At 36.9% G+C, this 24,813-nt stretch overlaps 1 protein-coding gene across 8 annotated transcripts in view; it reads left to right on the top strand.

Moving 5' to 3' along the window:
• Positions 1-24,813, top strand: part of DGKI (diacylglycerol kinase iota) — a 465,938-nt gene that overhangs the window by 299,200 nt on the left and 141,925 nt on the right. For 2 of the 8 annotated variants that reach the window (NM_001388092.1, XM_047421020.1), the window contains exon 21: positions 1,813-1,875. The exons of the other annotated variants lie outside the window; for them this stretch is intronic. In NM_001388092.1, the coding sequence (NP_001375021.1) occupies positions 1,813-1,875 (63 nt within the window). The remainder of the gene's footprint in view (positions 1-1,812; positions 1,876-24,813) is intronic. 8 annotated transcript variants of the gene reach the window in all.

Below are 24,813 nucleotides of genomic sequence, written 5' to 3'. Positions count from 1 at the left end.
TTCCATTACACCACTTACTAAAAATAGTGTAATCATTGATTCACTCCTCCCTTCTCTGCTCTGTGGGGAGGCCCTAGGATTTTCCTCTTAGGATCCTCAGTGTCTGTCATAGCTCCTGAGACAGTCACATCTTGCATCAGCGACTCACACATGAATCCATTCTATAATGCTGTCTCTGCTGTGTTTCTCAGAAATTGCTTTCTAAGATAACATAAATCTAAAATTTTGTGAATATAAAACTAATATCAAATGTGTTTTGGTCACATTGTCTTATAAGTGAAAGATACATATTTAATAATTTCAAGCTATGGTCCACATGGACAGAAGGAATTTCCATGAGAAATAGTTAACTAATAGGGCTTCATGATGCCACTAGATCTTCATTTATGCAAAAGGAAAAATTAATGTTTTCTAAAAAATATTTCTTGGCTTATAATCCCATTTGCTATTATTATACACAAACTAAAAAGCTAGGTCCCACTGTGTTCAGAAGCTCCTTATATATATGGGAGCATATGTCATTTATCATAGCATAGGAATCTACACAGAGTATGAACTACAGTAAATACCTTCCCCACAAAAAGTAATAAGCAGATTTATCTAGGTTCATATTCATATGCTAGTTACCTGATAGCCAATATGCTGGATTATGTTCTTTATTTGAAATGTGCCATTGAAGGAGAATAGAAACAAAATTACCCAGGTGTTTTGGGAGATCTTCAGTGAACTATTAATAAATAGATAATATTATCCTTAGTTCACTAGTAATTAAGGCTACATTATTAAAGATGATCGTTTCATCCAATGACCAGGTTTCTAGTCAGCAAACTTTGAATTGAGCAATCGAATTCCATCATCCTAGGCTGCTGAGAACTATTATTGTTTGGAAACGATAGTACTTGGAGGATAACACAGACAGAGAGAGTCTTGGGCTGGAGTTACCTCATGGGTGACTTTGCATGAGAAGTTATGTATGCTGCAGAACAGAGAGATCCGTGGAACTAGGTCTAATGTAGTTATAATGAAACTCTTTAAATAAGAGAGTGGAGAGAATAATTATGTAAAGTCAACAAAACATTTTGGGTTTAGTTTCTTAAATTCTACATTTTGTCTTTTCTAGCAGCTGCTGTAGACTCCAATATAAAAGAAGGGAGAAAAGGGAGAAATCTGTGGTTTCATTTTTCTACCCAGAATGTGGGTGGAATGATAGCAATACAGTGATACAATTAGACTTTCTTGGTATTACCTTTGGAGTTTTTAAAAAGCCTTTGTTGTTTAACTGAAGGAAGTTGAAGTTTTGGTTGAGACACTCTTTTTAAGATGATTGTCTTTTGGTGAGTGTTCCTATAAAGCCTGGGGAAACCTGATGGCTGTGTGATGAAAGGGTTAAATTGACCTTGAATCTTTTCAAAGATGAGTTTACCATGCCAGCCTACCACTCAATATGTAAGTGTGTGCCTTCTCTCCTTGGGTGTCCTGATGGGCCTGAGCAAGGGAGGCCATGGTCATCCCCCTACACCCCCCGACCTGCCGTCCAGCATCGATCCCAGCCTGGCCCCGCTCCGGTCTGTGACTTGCCTAGAACCAGCGCCTTCCGTGTGTCCTGTTGGCTTCGTTGCTATCACCGGCTTTTTTTGGATTATTTCCGTGGCTGGCTTGGTTTTCCTTTTCCTTTCCTTCGCTGTTCGGTGATGCGCTCATTTAATTTCTGTTTAAATTTTGTGTGTCTCTCTTTCTCTCCCCTGGCTTGTTCCTTGTCTGTCCACGCTGTCGCTGACTCTGTCTTCGCTGCTCATTCCCTGCTGCCTCTAGTATTCATCAGGTGCAAACTGCGGACCTGCGGCGAGTGTCTGCTCCCCCCGGCTCCTTCACCATGTGAGTACAGTGCCATTCTGTTTCTACATTTTCTCCCCAGCCTCGTCTCCTCAGGGTTGGACTACCTGTGTCCCTTGCCTTCACAGGTCTGTTCGTCAGATAAGGAAGCCACCTCACCAGAATTGCTTTCTGTTGCCCTCTTTGATTTGAAATGGAGCTGTGAAGTTTTTCATGTTCTATGTGCTTCCATCCTCTAAGTTAACAGTTCAATTTTTGGATGAGATACTTTAGGGTCCATGGTTGCCTGGGGTTGTATAGAATTCCATGCTAAGCATTGGTTTTTATGGGAAGTGCATAATACCGTTAGACTATGTCATTACTTACGGCTCAGAGATAAGCTCGAGGAAGTGCCTGCAGCCCTCAATTTCTGGATGAAACCTTAAGATTATGCGTGGAGTTTTGAGTGTGTGTGTGTGTTTCTGTTTTGGAAGATCCATAGTTACAGTAAAAGTTCAATGACCCCAAACTGTCACTGAGTTAGCAAAATGCATTTTTATGTATATTTAGGAGTTTTTGCTTAATGTAGTCCAGGGTATTATTTTTTTCTAGTGAGAACAAAAAAATATGTTTTTTAGCATTTCAGCTCAGAATTATTTTGTGCTGTGTACTCTGCTTTGTCCTTTGTTTTCTCCATATCACATATGCTTACCTAGCATTTATTATGTTTCAGGGACTGTTACAGATACTTTACATATTAATTAATTTGCTCTCCCAACAACCTTTGGCCATATGTGGTATAATTATCTCCCTTCTATGCATGAGGAATCTGATAGACAGAGAGGTTAAGTAACTTGCCCAAGGTCACACAGTTAATAAATCATAGAGTGGGATTCAGACTCAGGCAGTCTGGCTTCAAAGTTCATGTTTTTAACAATTCATAGTCTGCTGCCTTTCGTCTGTCAGGATCCTGTATATTTCTCAAGGCCCACTTGAATGATTACCTTTCCAAAGAATTCTTCTTTGATTCTTGCTGTCAGAGTTAATTACACCCTCACTGGAGTTTATCATTCATGTATCTGTTGCAGTTCTCAAGGTTTAATTTGGTGTTAATTACATTAACTCTGTGTCTGTGTATTTTACACAGTAGACTTAGGCTATTTGAGATGATTGGCAATATCTTAATATGAATCTTGTGTTCCCAGCCATGTTCACAGATTTTAATATGAAGTATTCTGAAGCCAAACAATGATTGATTGGTTTTCTTGGTGGAATGAGTGCATAAAAGAATACATGTCTAAATAGAATTGCACAATATCTAACATCTGGTGATATGTATGACAAAGCAATTCCTAAAGTTCAGTTATATAATCTACTTTCAACTCTCATCTTATGGATACTAATTTACTTATTATTTAAAATATGTATTTATTCAAAAACCTTTATTTTGCACTTGCTCTGTGCCAGACAGTATTTTATGCTCTGTGTCTAGTGGTAAGCATGACAGAGCACTACCTTCCTGAAGCTTACACTTGAGCAGTCAAAGAATCAATAGGAAAATGACATTCAATTGCCAAACTGAATGTTGTGGCTGGAGTAAAATTCTATATTCTATATAGGCCAGTTCAATAAATTTGAGTTTAAGGAGTGGCTGCATGTGATCATTATTTTTAGTGGCTCCGTTGATTGTGATCAAAGAATTGAGAATGTTAACAGCAGAAATGCATATGATAGTCATCTTGTTTCTATTATGGGTTAAGTTGGTTGTATTTACACTTTAGTTGTGTATCTTAAATTGGACTGTTTATCTCTTATTCCATGAGTGTGCGTGCTACATACAGTAAAGTAAATTGTCCATACTTGTTTCTGTAGGGTGCAGCAGGCTCTAAGTTGTGGTTACCTTAAAACTTGAATGTTAATTTGAAAATATTTTATATCTACATATGATATATATTGAATATTACATGTCATAGATTTTCTACCTATAGATAAAACATTTACATAATAAACATTAAATCAGGATATTATTTTAAAAATCAGTTAATAAAACTATATGGAATACAGCAAGGAATGTGGAGAAAAGTTTAAGCACAACATGTGCATTTTGTCTTTTTATGTTATGGCAGTGCGGATAGCCTTGATTTACTCACACACTAGTGTTTGCTAATTTCAGCAATGTTGAAAAAACCATGGTAACATTGCTTTGGTCCTGTAGAAGTTAGGAGCCCCAGTATCGTTAAGTGAGATTTTATATATTTTTGGCGGGGAGGGGAAGGGGGTTGCTATCTAATCAGCCACTCTCTGCTCAGAACAACTCTTTTTTACAGATGGTCTTTTCTTTGGGTGAACCCTCTCTTTATGCTGCTCTTGAAGCAATTGTTGCTTCCTTCAAGAAGCTTGAAGTGATCTTTTTTTTTCTCTCTAGCTTTCAGAAGACTTTTTCTCCAGGAATGGAGTACATGGTGGTAACAATGCAATGTATGAATTATTAGGAATTGCAACATACTACTAATGTCTGTGTATGTGCAAAATTTCCAGTTTATTCAAAGAAAAATCATGAAATTTTATGTTTTGACCATATATGACAACATATGAATTGATGAATTTTAATCAATGGTATTTACTGGTCTCATCCAATAGGACAAAACAAAGCAAATAGAATATTTCTCCATAAATCTTGTATAGTGCAAGTTAATGAATTAATAAATTCTTTATAATTGATTGGCTTCATAATGAAGTAAAGTCCTCATTGGAAGACACATGTACACACTACATTTCATAAATCATGACTAGTCATGGTAAATGCTGTAATTGCCAACTCCTATTCAGCTAATGCCAAAAAAGTATAAAACTGCAAAATGTGTCTTTCTAGAACTCTCTTAGCCTTTAGTAGCTACCTCTCATTAGGTTCTGTTTCCCTCCTGCTCTTCCCCCATCAAAATGAAATAATGTGTTCCATTTACACCTAATTTATTCATTGCTTTCATCTTTAAACAAACATTATTGAGTGTTTACTTCAGTTACTCAATGCTCTGTGGGATATTGGAGAAGCAGAGACAAGAACATTAAGGTTTCAGTTGTGTTGCCTATGACAGAATTACGAAGCCATGTGACAAGCATCCAAGTAGAGGTTCTGGTTGTTCTTCCATATGAACGACTTTGTATTGAATGTTTATTATATTTGCTTTTATTTTTAATATTTAAAGTTAACATACTGTAAAACGGACTTTTCTGGTGTACAGTTCCATAAAGTTTAAGACATATAGAGATTCATATAACCACCACCATAGTCAGGATATAGATCAGTCAGTCACCCCAAAAGAGCTGCCTCATGATGTATTCCACTGTAGTCAAACCCTCCCATCTCCCAACCTCTGGCAACCACTAATCATTATAGTTTTGTGTTTTCAGGAATGCTATATAAATGGAAGTATACAATGTGTAGTCCATTGTAGATGGCTTCTTTGACTGAACACTACACCTTTAAGATTTATCCAAGTTGCTGCATGTATCATTTATTTGTTCCTTTTTATTGCCCAGCTGTATTTCATTGTATGGATGTTTTAGCTTGTTTACCCACTCCCCCATTGAAGGATATCTGGGTTATTCTTCCAGTTTGGGGCAATAATGAGTAGAGTTCCTATAAACATTGATGAACAGGTTTTATGTAATAAGCTTTATGTCTCTAGGTTAAACATGTAGGAATGGGATTGCTGGGTCATATGGTAAGTGTATGTTCACCTTCGTAAGAAACTGACAAACTGTTTTCCAGAATGGTCGCACCATTTTGCATTTCTACCAGCAATATATGATCATTCCAGTTGCTCCACACCCCTATCAGCACTTGGTACTGTTAGCATTTGGGAAGCATATGTCCAAGTCTTTTGATCATTTTTTAATTGGGCTGTTTGTTTTCTTCCTGTGAACTTTGAGAGTTCATCATGTATTCTGCACCCAAGGCCTTTGTGTGCTTTGCAGACATTCTCTCCCAGTATATATCCTGTCTTTTCATTCTCTTGGTGATATCTTTTGTAGAGTGAAACCTTTTGACAGAATCCAGATGATTTTTTTTTTTCTTTATAGAGTTGTGGTTTTGGTATTACGTTAAAGTACTCTTTGTCTAATTCCAGGTGAATATTTTCTCCTTTGCTTTCTCCCTAAAGTTTTATAGGTTTTCTATTTTGCATTTAGTTCTGTGATCTATTTTGAGTTCTTTTCTATGAGATGTGCCATTTAGCTTGAGGTTAATGTTTTTGCATATGGATGTCCAATGCATTTGGCACCATTTATGAAAAAATTATCTTTTCCTATTGAATTGCCTTTACAACTCTACCAAAAATCAATTGGATATACAAAAAGTCATCCCTTAGTATCCATAGGGGATTTTTTCCAGAGTCCCTTTTCTTAGATTCTAGATGCTCAACTCCCTCATATAAAACGGGTATTTGCATATAACCTATGTACATACTTTCATGTATTTTAAATCATCTCTAGATTGCTTATAACATCCAATACAGTACAAATGCTATGTAAATAGTTGTTAAATGCATTGTTTGGGGAATTGTGATGAGATAAATAGTCTGTACATGTTCGGTATAGACAAAACCATTCTATTTTTCTGAATATTTTCAACCTGTGGTTGGTTGAATCTGCAGATGTAGAACCCACAGAAATGGAGAACTGATTATACACACACACGCACATGCACACACGTATACGCACACACAGACACACAGATCCAGTGTAGACTCTATTCTGTGCCATTGACCTATGGCTTATGCCTTTGCCAGTGCCATATTCTTTCTATTATTGTACCTTTATAGTAACTCTTAAAATCTGGTTGCATTATTCTTCCAAATTTATTCTTCATTGTCAACACTGTTGTGGCTATTTGAGTTCCTTTGTCTTTCCATACACATTTTTAGAATCAGCTTGCCTATGTCTCCAAAAATTCTACTAGAAATTGGATGACTGGAATTATATTGAGTCTATAGATCAACTTGGGGAATGTTGATATCTTTACTGTGTTGAGACTCTCAGTTCATAAATTCTCTGTGTCTCTTCATTTATTTTATTTGTCCATCATTTCTTGGTAGTTTTTTGCATAAAGATTTTATACCTATTTTGTTAGATTTGTGCCTAAGTAGTTCATGTTTTTGGAGCCATTGTAAATGTTTTTTTTTTTTTTTTTTTTTTTTTTGGGGGGGTTTTTAAAATGTTTGTTTCCAATTGCTCATTGTTAGTATATAGAAATACTATGGATTTTTTTTTCCTTTTGATACAGGGTCTCACTCTGTCACCCAGGCTGGAGTGCAGTGGTGCGATTTCAGCTCACTGAAACCTCTGCCTCCTGGGTTCAAGTGATCTTCCCACCTCAGCCTCCTGAGTAGCTGGGGACTACAGGCACATGGTACCATGCCTAGCTAACTTTTGAAGTAGTGTGGAGTTTTATATGTTGACCTTGTATCCTATTGGCCTTACTAAATTCATTTTTTAGTTCTAGGAGTTTGGTAGCATCCTCAGGATTTTCTACATAGTCCAGCATGTCTGTGAATAAGGATACTTTTATTCCTTTCTCTCTCATCCTTATGCCTTTTCTTTCTTTTGCATTGTTGTCCTGGCTAGGATTTAGAGTACAATGTTGAATAAGAGTGATGAGAGTTTCCCTTCTTGCTTTCTTTCTGATATTAGGGAGAAATCATTCTGTCTTTCACCATTAGATTGATTATTAGTTGTAGAATTTTTGTTGAAGTGTTTTGTCAGCATATCTGGAAAAGATTAGGGTATTATTTGTTCTTTATATGTTTGTTAGAATTTACCAATGAAACTCTCAGAGCCACAAGATTTTTTCCTCTTTCTTAAGCTATAAATTCAATCTCTTTAGGAGTTGTAGGACTACTCAGGTTATCTATTTCACCGTGAATGAGTTTTAGTTGTCTTATAGTTGCTCGAAGTATTTGAGGAATTGGTCCATTTCATCTAAAATGTTAACTAATGTATGTAGAGTTGTTGTATTTCTTTCTCTCTTTCATGTCTGTGAGGTCTGCAGTACAAGTCCTCTTTTATTCCTGATATTAGTAACCTGTATCTTTTTCTTCTTTGTCAATCTTGGTAGAGATCTATCCATTTTATTGGCTTTTTTGAAGAATTGGCTTTTGTTTTACTAACTTTCTTGGTTGTTTTTCAATTTGCAATTTTATTGATTCCTGCCCTTTATTATTTCCTTCCTTCTGCTTGATTTGGGTTTATTTTGCTCTTTTTTTCCCATTTTTTTCTAAAGTGGAATCTTTTATTTATTTGCTTCAGTATGCAATTGACTCAAGTTCAGGCCACAAGTTTTGACTAATCTTCTAAGGGTTGTGGTTACAACGTTAGTTTTATTACCAAAGTCTTTGCATTGCTATTCTTATCTGTCTGGCTTATGCATGACTAAGTTGCCAGTATGGGATCTGGGTGGAGTTCTACCCTGTAGTTCAGTTCCCAAAGTCTATGGTCTGGTGTTTAGGGCTAGATTCATGTATTTACAGCCTAGAGATAAACACCCAAGAGTTCATGAACATCTTTATGGAGTTGTTTTCTGAGTTCCTTCCTTTCTGCTGTCATCCCTGGTACTTTCTGGTCTCTTGGGGCTTCCTTTGTTTGGTCCTTGTGCCAGAAAGCTAAGGGTTTAGTTACCTCACTCTGCTGCATACTGCCTGTAACTGTGTTCATGTCCAGGGCCAACCAATGATAACAGAAAGAAAAAGAAGCAATGATAGTTTCTGCCACTCTCTTGGCGTCACAGCTCTTGTGATTAGAGAGGAAGCCCCTCTTCCCTCCTAATTTTAGGTGCCAGAAGGCTTTGTCATTGCGGCTGCCAGAAATAGTGAAAAGGCCTGAGTAGTGTAGTGGGAGAAAATGGAGGGGGGAAAAAAGAAAGGGAGATCCTTTTCCATTTCTTTCGGCATTCAGAGTCCCTTCTTTTCTTAGAGCTGGAGCACAAGCATTTTGCCAGAGCTCTTTCTCTCTGCTCCTGGTGTCCCCTTTTGGGCTTTATGCTGCCTGGAGTCCAGGCTGGGGCTTATTGGAGAGAGAGGGATTGGGGAGTTTACTACCAATTTGATAGTATCTTAAAATCTGATGTTCTTCACCAATCTACTGCTATCGTTTACTTTTCAAAGTTCTCAAATAGCTGCTTTATGAAACCTGTCCACATTGTATAGCCGCATGCAGTGGGGAAGAAATAATGCTGTGTGCTGACCCACCTTCACCAGGATAAGATCTCCCCTGTTTTTTGAAGCAGAGAACTATCGGACTGCATTTCTTCTTGCCCACTGCAGTGACTCAGCGAGTGTCATAGCTAAATTCAGCAAAACAACTCTGCAGAGACACCAGTGTATTTTGAATTACAACTAACATATGTTAAGTGTAATATACCATCTTGCACAGCAGTTGCAATTTAAACATAAACAGGATATATCCCACTGCTAAATTGTGTGGGTCTGCTTATTACCTTGGGAAAAGCAAAGTTAGAAACCGATCCATGAAGAAAGTATGAATTGTCATATTTGACCACTGAATATGACTCAGCATTCCAAAATTCCTTGTGATAAATGAAGACTTCTTGGTAAGGATGAAAGTAAATTGATTTTTGTTCCAGGAAGAAAGGGAATTTTATTAAAAGCAAGGGAAATATTTTCGATATATTAAAATTTTTTATGGTTCTGTTTTAGGTTGAGTTTAAGAATTTTATTTTTATAAAACTACCAAGACAGAGCAAAGAACCTTTGATCTTCACAATTGAAGAAAACATAAATTAGCCATAGATGGCTAAATGTTTGCATGCCTCTGGCCAGAGAAGTAAACTAGAAGATCTTTTGAAAAGCTTTCTAAAATTCTGTAATTCTATTCTACAACTAGTCACATCAAAACTTTTGTTCTAACATTTACTTGAGTTTGTATAATTATATTATGAAAGGTCTCTTTATTCTGTTTACTTAGTTGTGGTCCTACAATTAGAAAATAAGACTTGATTTGTGTTATTCAGAACCCTCTTTCCTTTCCTTTCCTCTCTTTATAAACTCTGCCACACCTTAACTCTTTAAGGAAGTAACAAAAATGATACCAAAGTGGAAATTTACATGCATGCCTTTGTAAACTATAAGGCTTACCTCTAAAGCAGCTGAGATGATCCATCAGATATGGTTTGCCTCAATGAATTAAGCTGCTGGTGGCTAATACACAACCTTCCTGAGAGTCTGAGAATGAATCGCACTCATGGGCCAGTGGAGCCTCCAGAAATGTGCTTCATGTCTGGGGCAGAAATCTGTCCAGATTCTGATTCGTGGATTATAATTTTTGAATCATACCTCCTGGACCCAAAAACCAATTTCGAGGGTACCAAAACAGCCTAAGTACTTCAACTTGTGTGATTAGGTTTGTTGGTCATGCTTTTGTTATTATTATTATTGTATTTCTAGGTGATTATCTCTGAATTGTAGGATTATCGATAATTTTTTTTTATTTCTGTATTTTCTGATGGATTTCCATGAATGGGGAGTACTTCTAAAAAGGGAAAAAAAGCAGAACATTTCATATTTTTGGAAGAACAGGAGAGAATTGCTACATTCGTAGAATTTAAAGGCATGCTATTTGCTGAATCTTAAGGTCGGATAGTGAAGTGTAAGAGTTAGCTTCAGGCTACCTGGAAAGCAAAGCTATTTGCTCTCTAAACTTCTGAGCAAAGGAAGATGCTAAACTTTGCCCATCGTCTCTTCTTCCTTCCTCTCTCTCCCTTGGCTCCTGAATTTCTTGGGTACTCTTACTAGTAATTTCACTTCAGACTGTGCACAGTTTCTTGACTTTCAGTCATACCATCATGTCATCCCTTCTTTCCTCTTGTTATGCCACTCTTCCCTGCTAGTTCCATAAAACAGACATCTGCAATGGACAATTCCAAAGAAAAGAAATAATGGTTACTTGGACTTCAGCTCATGCCAGTTTCCACACTTTATCTCTCAGTTTCCATGAGAGCCCAGGCTGCAACTCGGTTAATGTTGTTTTTTTTTTAATTTGTTTTGAATTTTTTAAATGAATTTCTCCCATGAGTTCCCTCACTCTGCCTGGGCTTCCATTCCACTCTGAGAGGTCTAGTGACACAAAGAAAAGGGGCAGTGGAAGCAGTCCACGGGTCTGTAGCCAGAGCGTCTTCCTCCTTATTCTGCAACCCCTCTTTCCTTATGGTAACATCCTTCTGATTTGAGTATCTGGGGGAACCCTGCATTTGTCTGTGTAACATCAGCCATGTATTAACCTTTTGCATTTCAGTTTTTCAGATATTTAAAAACTGCAGTTGGTCCTTCGAATTCCTATCAGCTTTGAAGTTCTGTTATGGTAGAATTCAAAGCATGATCTTAGAATCATAAGAAAATCTGCCCTCCAAAAATCTGTAACATGAGGTGGATGAGACTTGCTATGGGACAAGACAGCGTTGTCCTTGGTTCTGAGTACTGGGCAGGGGGGCCGGGCCCTGTTCTTCATTGGTAAGCATAGTTCATGTCTCACCTTCCTGTTAGCAAGAACCAAAGTGGATTTTTACATTTAGTCAGAGACATAATATGTACCTAAGCACCTTGCTCTGTGATCAAATTTAACACCCTACTAACTTCTAAGGTCACAGTTGCTACTAGTCTCATTCCCTAGATGAGAAGACAGAGAACAAGAAATGGTAGGAAACTTGCCTATGATTGCATGCTATACATTGATAAAGTTGACATCGTAGCATTTAAGGCATTTATCTCTGCTGTCAATATCACTTCTGGTCATTTTCTTGTGTGTGCATATATGTATGTATATTTATCTCTATTATTTATATATTTTAATCCAATCATATTATATAAACTTTTAAAAGAAACTTGATTATGAAGAATAACAGTTCAATTCTGAGTGTTGCAAATGTGTGAATCTTTGGTGTCATAGGTTTATAGTTCAAGTGTTGTTATAATAAAATTTCAGAATGACAAATTTCAGGTAAAAATAGCACCACTAAGTAATTTGAAGTCTTTTAGAATCGTAAGGAGTGGCATTTGAACTGAGAAACAGGCTTATCAGGAAATGTCATGCTGACATCCACAGTGGAGGAATCGTTCCTGTGTTCTTATATTAGTAACAGTCCACCCAGAGCTCGGCAATCAGTCCACTTATGTAAAGGCGCAATACACTTAGGGCCCCTTCCACATTTAACATTCTATCTTATTGCTTTCAAATTTATTTTTAGAGGTGAATTATTTATGTCCTCATAGGTGTAGAAATAGTCTTACCACTCAGCACTTTTCATACAGTAAAAGGTTACTTCAAAAGTGCAGCGGATATTTACTGCGGGTTTTGTTGCCTTGAGTGTGCAGGGAATAAGGGAGCTCTTGCAGAAGTCAGACTTGGGGGTAAAGGAGAAAGTTTGCAGGAAGGTTTGGGGGTAGTACATGTGCCAGGTATGTTTGGCAGGGAAAAGGAGGGGGAAACATTTATGAAATTTTTAAAAAATAAAAATAAATTTCACAAATAGAAATCTGACTTTAGAGATACAATTAGTCCAACAGATACAACACTTGTTTTTTAGATTTTTCTATGTTTTTAATAGATAAGTGAAAATTAGGGTCTGAATAGCCAGGGCGGGGATATCAAATTGGCAGAGATTCCCAAGCCAGATTGAAATTTTTGAAAATTAAAAATTAGATTTCTCTCATTCTTCCATTATATATCTTTTTATAAACACTAGTTGTAGGATTAGAACAAAAGGAGTTAGTTCTTTTTGTGCATCTTTTTAGTAGATACCTGTATGAGTTTACTAGGACTGCCATAACAAAGTACCACAGAGTGGGTGGCTAAAACAACAGAAATTTATTTCGTTACAGTTCTGGAGGCTGAAAGTCTGAATGAAGGTGTCAGCAGGGTTGGTTTCTTCTGAAGCCTGTCTCCTTGTCTTGTAGATGCTGTCTTCTCATGTCTTCATATGGTCTTCCCTCTTTGTCTGTGTCCAAATTCCCTCTTTATATAAAAGACACTAGTCATGTTGGATTAGGCTCCACTCTAACAACTTCATTTAAACTTAATTACTTCTGTAAAGACCCTGTTTCCAAATACAGTCACATTCTGAAGAGCTATGGGTTAGAACTTCAACTTACCAATTTGGGGGACAGATAACTTAGTACATAACAGCATCATACTGGATAAATTTGATTGAATTTTAGTTATATTTCTGTGTCACCCTCTGAAGACTAAACTTTGTGTATATTATTTATATAAATATTTTAGTTGTTTAAAATATTTTTTTATTAAAGGGTATAAAGAGAGCTGAAGAACATTACCCTATTATTCATAACAGATTTTCCATATTAATTATATAGATACAATAAGGTGATTGACATCTCTGGACCCAAATTCACTTTCTGTAAAATAAAGTGGTTGAACAATATGTACTTTAAATTTTTGTTCAAATCTGAATTCCTAAAGCATGATTATAGTAAAAACAATCTGCAGAAATACATGCAGACTATAAACGGGAAGGAAAAGGAATACTTTTGTTAGTCTTTGTGAGTAAAATATTTATTTAAAAATGGACTCCCCACCCAGAAAACAAAGCAAAACAAAAAACCTAAATATTTTTGGACCGACCATTATAACTGCAATGTTATTAATGGATTTACTGCATTCAGGAAGGAAAAAGAGACATTTCAACTTTTACTCCAGTACTAGAATAAGAACTGACATTATCCTCTGACATATCAACAAAGAAACCTAGATGTTCGTTTTGAGCGTTCCAAACAAATAATCCAAATAATCCAATTATTTTGGATTACTTTGCTGAAGTGGTAATGAAGTGTGAGGTGCGTTTCATTTGTAGGAGGGCTTCAATTTAATTATACCAATTCCACTGAGTTTTGCTGGTCTCTCATAACACCCTGAAACACTTCCATGAAATGAAAAGAGTACATTTTAAAAGGCATAAAAAGAAAGTACTCGTTGATGCTACATTTAATTAATCCCTAGAACACATCACATTTTGTGTCAGAAAATGAAGTTCTATACATGATTCACCAAGTTCCAAAGTTATAGCTCAGGTATTTGACTGAAATAGAAATACTTTTCATCTTGGGCCATTATAAAAATTAAGAAAAAAGATAAATAAAATAAAATGAAAGTACCATTGGAAGAATCACAAATGGAAGGAAAAGGCCAAAGCCTTTCAGTCTTATAATATATTATAAAGACCTATAGTTGTATTTATTTTGAAAAAGTAATCACTTAGACCTTACTGCTCTTAAGAAAGGTGGCTATGTCCTCTAATTGGGACGTGATTATGTCATTTGGCTTGATGTTATTTTGTTGTCCAGGAAAAGTAAAACAAGTATGTTTTCTTGAGTAAAAGCTCTTGTCTTATAAATACATTGGTTTGCTGCCTTTAATAGAGACTTGATTTACTTTAATGTGGTAAGTGAAAGGAGAGAAAGAAATGGAACAAGCAAAGGCACTCCAAATTATTTTCACATTCTATTATGATATTATCAATAAAACCATTATTTTCTTTCTTTTTCATTGTTTTCTTTTTAGTATTTGTAGCATCAAAATATCTAACTATTTTGTGTTTGTTTCTCCTTCATCCAAGTAATTTATTTTATATATTTACTTTCATTTTTTTCTGAGACAGGGTCTCACTCTGTGGCTAGGCTGAAGTGTAGTGGCACTATTATAGTTGATTGCAATCTTGAACTCCTGAGTTCAAGTGATCCTCCCGCCTCAGCCTCCTGAGTAGCTAGGACAACAGTTGCATGCCACCGTGCTTATTTATTTATTTAAAAAAAAGTTTTTAGAGATGATCTCACTATGTTTTCAGGGTAGTCTCAAACTCCTGAATTCAAGTGATCCTCCCAAAATGCTGAAATTACAGGTGCCACTGCACCTGGCCCCAACTGACCCATTAGTCCACCCATTAAAGTATATTCTAGGGAACTCTTTTTCTCAACCTTGCTATCAAATTTTGTAAAAGTTATTTTTGTTGATGAATAATTGTTATATTGATATAATTATTGTGTGATTCTTTTAAGTTCTGTTCTAGAAATGTCTTTATTCTGTCATTTTTACAAAGACAAGAAGAATGTTTCCAAGAAATAAGAGCAGTTTATAAAATCCCTCAGTCATTGGATCAGGAATTAGAGAAGGGAAATGAAAGGTTTCCTCCCAGTTGGCTAAATGGGCTGAATTGGGAAAGCGGGAGGGTCAGGTTTAGAGGACTCTCAATTATTCCTTCTTGGATTTCCGACAAGAAACCTTGGGCTGGTGGGAACACATCTGAGCTACTAATAGGAGCTGAAGTTCCCACCAACTGTAGATTGATGAACAGAAATATGGGGCCATCTATATCTCTTTCCAGAGCCAAATGTAGCTCCCCACTGAGGATTGAGGACCTTGGCAAGCAATTGTCAACCTGTCCAGGTAAAATATTAATTACCTACTAATGAAGAAAAACAAACAATTCTGCAATAATTTTTTCTCTGATACTCAGATTTTAGGAGAGTATATACATTGTTTCATAAAATGTTTTATGTGAAGGGCTAAAACCATTTAAGAAAATGCCTTTTATGTAATGCCGCTTATTGTCAGGTCAATCCTTACTTTTTATTTCCATTATAAAAACAAAACATGCTCTTCCCTTGACTGAGCCTGTTTCCTAGAAATGCAGATCTACTACCACACAATCTGTAGAGTAGCTTTTCAGTAGTAATGCGTCCTGTAGCTCATACATTCCATTCTTTCTATACATAATTGGGTTATGTGATTTCCCCATTTTAAGATAGCAATATCTGTTTTCACTTCATCATTGCTTCATGAATTTTGGCTACTGTTTTTTTTGATATTTTTATTTATAACACATTCTGAATCTTTGATTTTTTTTTCTATTGGTTTGTAGATGAAATGTGTTCAATATTTAAAGATTATGTGTAGTCTATTTTGGTTAAAATGCTGTTTTAAAGTTACACATAGACACTCAAATATCACTAATTAATTCGTTAAAGTGCTTAGAGTTACTAGAGGGTTAGCAACTATACCAGTAGTTAGAAGCCTAGTTTCAGTGTTCTTCATGGTTGGTATGAAAGACCACAAGTGTTTTCTTCTGTGAAATGACATTTTTAAAATACGCAAATCATAACACTTCATCCACACCCTTTTTTAGCAACGAAAGTGAATTTATCGGTTGCAAATAAGAACAGGAAAATACAACTGTTTGTGATTGCAAATCCTGGGGAAGATTTTTAGCATTTTAAATAACAATTAAGTTTAAGAGATCCCTCTGATACATAGAAACTGAAAGCTGAAGCAGAAAATGTCTGTCTTCCTGAACACATGAGATCTAAATCCATTTTGATGGCTTAAGAGTATCATTGTCCTCTTATGTCTCATTGGTTCAAGCCCAACTGCTCCTTGCTCCACTAAGTATAGTGATGAATGGTCCTCCCTCCAACTGACAGTAAAAGAATTCTCCATGCTGTGAGAATTCCATTTAGTACCATTGATTGCAGGCTATGGTATTAAAAGTAACTCATGTTAGTGTTTTGTGATAGAATCTTTAATCATTTTTAATAACAAGGAAACCTTCATTACATGGATTTACTTCTTAAAGTGGAAATGATTTTGGCCTGATGTGATGAAAGACAGGGCTTGAGTTTTTACTTGTTCCCATTCCAACAGTTCTTAATTTTTCTTCATCTCAACAGTTGGAATTTGCAGAATTCTTCTATGAGAATGCATGTTACCTCTATGTCTAATTTCCATTTGTTTCTATTTCCTGTGGTACTTACTTCTCCTTTGCCTTTTATTAGGATATTTGTCCAAGTTTTATACTCCTTAAGCATGAAAGAATGTACAAAGAGTGTATGTGGGAACTTAAAGTCTAAAATTCCTACCTTAAAATACTTTTTTAAAGGTTGTCATCTCTAGTTGCCAGTTCACCAATATCAGGGCAGAAGACGGCATCTTCGTAAGACTTAAATTTGCAATAATATCTAGTAATGAGTAGAAATTCTTCTCTTTTGTATTAAGCAGGGGCAAGCCAGAGGCTCAACTCGATACCTGAAGGTGGTACAGCAATAATGTAATGCATAATCAGTGATTTTATTTCTTGTTTGTTGCTTTTAGTTATGGGAGTAGGTTTTTCCTTTGAACCAAATTCTTTTGAGTGGTCCCATTCAGGCCAATGATTCTGGCCTAATCACACATGATTAGGTGTGATGAAGAATGTAGTCAGATGTCAGAAAAAAGATGTTTTTCTCATCGCAAATTTAGGAAGTCCATATGGGGATCAGTAATTTAACACATATTGAAAACCTCATATTAAACATATGTAGTGGGAGATTTAAAGATAACTATAGTTGGGCATCCTGTCCTTGAAGAGCTCATGATTTAATGGGGAGAGCAACATTGTCATATCATGATTACATTTATGTTTTAAACAGTGTGCAGTGTGATGAAATTTTTGGATGCATGGGGCCCAATTAGCCTAGGTGCAAGATGATATTAACTTGGTCTAAAGGGGTTTTAGTGGAAGGAGCAAAGAAGCATACGTATTTGAAAGATTTAGAGGAGGATAAACTGCAGCAGAGAGAAAGAAGGAGCTTCTGGTAACTTAGTTGGCAAACCAGAAGAGTGTTTTGAACTGAATTCCAAAAGTAAAGAGCTTCAGGCAGCAGGGAGTTAACCACAGTGTGGAAGGCTACTGAAAAGTGAAGTCAGGTGAATTTAATATGCATGGATAAAGGAAAAAGAGAAAGTAACAATATTGTATAGTCTTATGGAGAGGGAACTTTGAGTTTCTGGGGCAATGAGTTGTTCAGTGGCTTAAAAAATAAATCTGTGACTCTGGTAATAAAAAGTTATAACATGGCCGGGTGCAGTGACTCACACCTGTAATCCCAGCACTTTGGGAGGCCAAGGTGGGTGGATCACCCGAGGAGGTCAGGAGTTTGAGACCAGCCTTATCAACATGGTGAAACCCCATCTCTAGTTAAAATACAAAATTAACTGGGTGTATTGGCACACTCCTGTAATCCAAGCTACTCAGGAGGCTGAGGCAGGACAATTGCTTGAACCCAGGAGGCAGAGGTTGCAGAGAGCCGAGATCGTGCCATTGCACTCCAGCCTGGGTGGGCGACAAGAGCAAAAAGTCATAACACATGTATGTAGGGATGGATCCATGTAAAATTCCAGAATTGGATCAACGAGCCAGTAACAGTGATGGCATTCACTGCCACAAAAGGAAACAGGTGGCCAGAAGAATTTGAAATATCATTCAAGGTTGTTAGTATGTCTATTTTCCTTTAAAACAAAAATGATGAAACTGCTATACTTGTTAACCTGCTCTGCAATGCCACTGAGGGAAGCCACTGCTTGCTTGTTCTATACCTTTGCTTCCCTTTAAATACCATGAACACGACACTGAACAGAAAACACACTCTAGAATAACCATGTGGTAAATTAGTTATGGGAGTAAGTTTTTCCTTTGAACAGAATTCTTTTGAGTGGTCCCTATTCTGGCCAATGATTCTGGCCTAATCACACATGAAAAATCTATGCTCAAAAGCATAGATTTTTTTTATTTTAAAAAGTTTTGTAAGTCTGTGGAGTACAAGTGTAATTTTGTTACATGCGTAGATTACATAGTGGTGAATCAGGCCTTTTAGGGTATCTATCACCAAAATAGCATATGTTGTACCCATTAAGTAATTTCTCATCATTCACGCTCCCCTAAGCACAGAAATTTATTACAAATTTCCATGGAGGCTTTAAAATTTTAATTACAATGTGACTTTGAAGATCTCCAGAAAATTTAAAAAATAATTTCTGTTTCAGCCAATGTCATAAAAATTTATTGACATTTGATGCTTATAGTCTGTTTGCAATATGTTAGCCATCAAGGCAGCAAATATTTCTTTGATATGCATCTAGCTTTGGTGGTTAATGTTTGCACTCTTTTGACATTAGTCCATGTGACTGATTATTTTTGTAACTTAAAAGCCAATTCCCTAAAAATGGTGGTAGATGGGCTAATAAATAGAGACTGCAGAGAGGAAAATTTAGACTGCAGGGAGAATTTGCAAATGATTAAGGTAGCCTGAACAAAGACTAAGCCACTTCCATTAGCATCTTACTGCTTGGTGAGGATCAAGCAGAGACTTAGAATAGCCACTTGAAGATGCAGTCATAGGGGCGTATAGAATTAGATGGAATAGCAAATACTGAATTAGATGAGATCGAAGATTGCTTTTGACTCTATAATGCTTCCATGATGATCTTATAAGAAGGGCTGGAAGAATAGCTGCCTCAAATAATTTGTAAGCTGTAACATATCCTATTACCTCCTCACAAATGGATGTCTTAGAGACTGAGAACTTACTCAACTTCCATCAAAAAAGAATTAATAACCTCTGAAGGTACTTTCTCCAGGAAAACATGTTGGGCAGTGGGAGTGCATGACTGATTGCTGCTAATGTGATTTTGGTTTATGCTTGGTTTAAGAATCAAAAACTTCTGTACAATGTGTTTCAGATTTCCGAGGCATTATTTAATTGAAGAACAGGTAGTTCAGAAAAGGTTTACTTACTTTTTTGATGGGGACATCTACCATTTGTAGGTTCTTCTGTCTTTTTATTTGTGTAGATTCTACTGGAGATAAAAAGTGGGAACATAATTCAACATGGATTTATTTCCTGATCCAGAGGTCAAAGAACAGAAATGGATGACCAAATCAGTTATGACTTTTTCACAAAGGGAAAAGCTGCTAGAAAGCAGCTCAGAAATGCTCCAATGCCAAGCTGTGCTATAGCATCAGAACCATGTACAGTTGCAGAGGAATTTGATTTCCTTGCATTCATTTACTCATTTGTTCAAAAACATTTATTGTAAGCAACATGGACCAGGCATTGTTCTAGCTGCTGGAGCTGCAAAGAGGAGGAAGAGATTCATAGTGTGAATTCATAGCCTTTCACACTGTGAATTCACACTATAAATTCATATTTTAATAAAACTCTATTTATAAAACGAGCCAGTTCAAATGAATTCTATTAGATTAGTTAGAAACAAATTTTATTATATCTAGATTATGATCAGGTAGAATTGCTTGAAAGAAGTTAAGGCAATTCATTATTACTATTAAATCAGGGCTAAAGGGTGAAAGGCAGACAGAGTTATGCTTTTCTGTCTCATAAAAGAAAAACAACTCTATATGAGTAGCAAATGCCTGGTTGAATTACAATTATTTATAAAAATCAATGTTTCTACATAGTGCGTGTTACAAGGGGCAAGCCTTACACTGAACTAAGAAATGTTAATGAAAACAGGATATTTATAAGGTACAAAATGTAGAATGATTACATAACTTTAAGGATCTTGTCTCAACATGAGTTAAGATTTATATTCATAATATCTTTAAAAAGTAAAAAAAAACTTGCAAACATTCACCATCCCTACTTGCATTATTGTCCAAAAGACTGTGGATAGCGACATTCCACTGAATCTTGTATCCCTACTGATGTTGACGGATGCCCATTCTGCTAAGGTTTCCTGTCTACTAAGTGCTAATTAGAGCTGCAACTCTGGCTTCAGCTATGATATTATTATCTAGGACTGAATAAACAATATAAGGCTTATGGAAATTGCAGAAGCGCTAGGGCGATAATAATAGTAACAACAACTATTATTATTTTTGACCACTTATTATTTGCCAGGAAGGTGCTAACTGCCTTATATATGTCTCATTTAGTGCTCACTACATTTCTATTATCAGTCCCATTTTCAGATCACAAAATGGTTTAAAGAAGGTAACTTTAGCGTTCTGACCATTTAGATTGGAACTAAATTTTTTGACCATACGTCTTGCTTTATCCACTTGCTATCATGTCTTAATATTAACGGATATCACTCCTATATAATTCATGTTTCCAGTGACAGAATGAGTTAATGGAGTCCGTGGTTTAAAAGTGACCCTGGAGAACCAAAACGCTCAGCCCATCCACTTTATCCATAAAGAGATTAGGCCTGGGTGGGAGATTGGATGAGAGGCGTCTCTTATCAGTCCGAGAGGAATAGTGTATACTAAAGAAATTGATCAAAAGGAGGAAGACGTTTGAGGGCACTAGGGAGGAATACGACTCTGATGGATTGAAATTCTACATGGGAACAATTGAAAAAGAAGCTATTGGCAACATCTACAGGAGAGCAGAGAATAGCAAGATTAAGTGTAAATTGAATAGCAGTGAGTGTTCAGGGAGTTGTCTTAATGGAAAGTCAGTCTACCTCCCTTCCAACATCTCAGGGTAAAAGGTGTGTATAACATGGATAAGGGAAGCTGTGGCATGGAGGTTACTGGAAACCCATCTGAGTGATTCAACAAGTGCTCTTATTATGGTTCTTGAGAAAGTGTTCATGGGAGACATTTGGGAATTAAGTCCAGAGCCACGAACTTCCATTCTGCATAAGGATCTCAATCACAGTGTTGCAGAGAATTGGGGTAGTGACCTAAACCTGTCGGCTTAGTGAGAAGGCGACAGGTTTAGGTCACTACCCCAATAGGAAAGGGAATTCACAGACTGCTAAATCCCTTCTAGGGAGTTTGAGATGTTCCATGGAAGCCGGGTTTAGAACCCCTGATCCAGAGCCTAATCAGTATGGCAGTATCTTGTGGCAGATGTTGGCAGGAAGGCAAATTTATTTTTACCCAGGATGTTTGTCTCTTCTTTGCTCTACTAACTTCCCAGACAAAATTTAAATTTAGCAAACTAATGGCAGTGCTATTCCCCAGACTCCAAAGAACAGCTTTGTCATCCTCTACCTTCAGTCAGCCATTAATGGGACACTAATATATTTTGACATAAAGGTATGAAATTGAATTACTTGGCTTTCATTTAATCTCTATGCACTTCCCCCGACTCCCCCATGTTCTAGCTGTCTGTTTTCATGTTTTTAGTTGGCCTTTTAAAATACTAGGTGGGAGAGCACCCAGAAGTGTAAAATGTCATGCCACCAGCCAAGCTAGACAATCTCCCCCCAGAGGTAGCCCAGCACCTTGTCAGAAATGTTTAGGGAGGTTCCTTCATGTGCTCTAAACATTTTCCAATATCTGGCAGAAGCAGCAAATGCTGTTGATTATTAGGTAGAACCTTATCTAGGAGAACGATTTTCAGAATAATTATTATAATGATAATAGCTAAAATCTATTGAGCACTGACAATGTGCCAGGCATTTTTCTAAGCATATCACATGTATTGGCTCATTTAATTCTCTTAATATGCCTATGAGGTGGATACTGATATCATCTCCACTTTACCTATGAGGAAAATGAAGCATAGAGTTTCCTGATTAACTAGGAACTGGAAGAACTTTACTTCAAATCCAGGCAATCTGACTTGGAGCCTGAGCTCCTCACCACTTTGCTGTGTTGCCTCCCATACCTGCTGTTTACACCAGGGTTGCAAATGATTCGAGAAGGTTTACCATTATTGACCCTGGGGTCTAATGCCCTAGAATTTGCTGATGAGTCTCAACTGGGACATCTTTTGATAGGAGTTTAAAAAAGAAAACAGATACCCCGCCCAGAAGACTAGGTTTAAGTAAGCTGCTGCTAGTGGGAAAGTGGAAACTGTTGTAGGTTGTTGGGAAAAGATGGGAGCTAAGAGCAAGAGAGCAAAAGTGTAGGAAAGTGGATGGGAGAAAGTGTTAAGCGGTGGTTAGAGTCTGATTTCTTCTGTCTTGCTTAGCTGATCATTCTGGAGATGAACTGAGATCATATGTGAATTCATTTGGGATCTATAAAGTTTGATTCAAATAATAGTGTCTTTTATGCCATGGTGTGCCCCCTGGAAGTTAGGGTGGAGTAGTGGGTGGCCAGAGGTTCAGGAGACAACAGTGCATGGGTTGGAATCAGAGGGCATAGATGAGAACCTGGGAGGACATGGCACAGGGAGCAGCCACTTTATGGGTTTTGAGAAAGGTGATACACACTGGTAAGCCCCAAATTGGGGAGCTCCAGGAAGGGGAGTCCAGGAACTGGTCAGCAGTCATTCTCCAAATCTCATTTCCCATTTGCAACTACTGCCCAATCGAGGTCTTAGTCCTGATACCTCCAGCCCAGTAGAGAAGACTGAAGCCCACTGCCATTAGATTTACTATGATCTCAAATAATTGCTTAGGTAGAGTTCATTCAACCTCTGCCCCTCCTCAACTTCTCCTATTAGGGTCTGATAGGCCACTACATTCTATGGTTCCAGCTTCCCTTTTATCTGCTGTGTGTGCAGGAAAATATTTTCTAATTACAGTCTTTGCAGATCAGTTGAGTGAACTTGGAAATAAAGGGATTATCAGACCCCTTTAATTTGGGGATAAAAATCTAATGTGAACACCATGTGGTCACTCTGTTAATTGCGTAAATTTTTTCCTCCCTACTTGCATCTAATTCCTAACACTCTTTGCTATAGGCCTTATTTTTATTCTTGTCCTGCATTATTGTTTATTTACATATGGACGTGCTTTTAAAATAACTATATTAATTCCTTAAAAATTATACTTGATATAAAATAATGCCCAGGTTTCACCACACAGAGATAACAACTTGCAACAGCTTGTTGGACGTGTCTCCATGCACTTCTCTTGCATGTGCAAACTCCTGAAGTCCACAATTTATATGAAGGAGCTTATGCCATATATAATTATTCATGACTTTTCTTCACTTCACAGCATGTTGTAGCCACACTTCCCTCTAAATGAATAAAGACCTACACATTCATTTGTACTCTCTGCCCAGTGTTCTCTGGTTTACTTAACCACCCCGCCTGATGATTGTTTATTGATAAAGAAAGAAATCTGAGCAGCACACAGAGATCATCAGACTCTGCCAATCCAGACTTTATAGTTTTGCCGTCAAATCCATGGGATTCTTGGTATTTATCCATTGACAAGAGAGTCTGAACTCCTCAGAGGAGCAGAGAAAGAACATGAAACTGATGAGTGAAGGGTCCAAGGCTTTGCGTTTAGCACTGCTACTTAGTGGCTATGTGACCTTAAAATCACTTCACCTTTCTGAACTTCAGTTTCCCTACCTGTAAATGATATTGTGAGTTTTCAGTATATTCAAGGTCTGTTCTACTAACTGAAGGTCTGTATCTATAAATATACTGTCAAGCTGTATCTCCAATCACAACTTAAATGCTTCGGCTTTATTTGTCCATACCTTTTTGATGTCCAGCACTATGGTAATACAAAGTAAATACCCAACAAACACAATTTGAGTGATGGATCGGTATAGCTGTTGAATCTGTCTTTTCAAATTTCCCCCAGAAATATCCATCTCTGTAGTTTTATACTGATTTTTTTAAGCCAGTGAACCTCAGACATTTTTACCTGCCTACCATCTCTCTTTAGAATTTGTGCATGTATATCTACACTTTTAAATAGCCACAGTTTAAATCTCTCTCTCTGTCTGTGTGTGTGTGAGAGAGAGAGAGAGAGAAAGAGAGAGAGAATGCACCATGTGTGAGTGTGCACATATGTATCTATAGTTTGATATGTATGTGCTATTTTGGGTGAGTAAAGTGGGATTCCATATGGAGGGAGTTACTATACTTTGCACTAAAATGAGGCTTTAGACAACAGAATGAGATTATTTTTTTACTCCCTCTTCCAGAGTTTTACTGAAATTAAATGGGTGTGTGTCTGTGTCTCTGTGTGTGTGAGTTTGAAGTGAAGGTAGAGAGGGGTGTCCTAATATTGTAGACACAGTATTCCCTTCTTTCATGTATTCTTTCTTATCTTTCCTGTTTTCCTTCTTTCCCTCCCTCATTCTCTCCCTTCCTCTCTCCCTCCGTCTTTCTCTTTCTTTTTTTCTTTATTTCTGTTTCCTTCTTTCCTTCCTTTTCCTCCTTTACAGGAACAAATTAAAGAATAATGCCATTCTTTCTACTTTAGTCAATGACGTTAGTCAGT

The sequence above is a fragment of the Homo sapiens genome, chromosome 7 (assembly GCF_000001405.40).
Source record: "Homo sapiens chromosome 7, GRCh38.p14 Primary Assembly".
Classification (NCBI taxonomy): domain Eukaryota; kingdom Metazoa; phylum Chordata; class Mammalia; order Primates; family Hominidae; genus Homo; species Homo sapiens.
The sequence above is the reverse complement of the archived record's forward strand: the minus strand, read 5'-3'. Positions and strand labels throughout refer to the sequence as shown.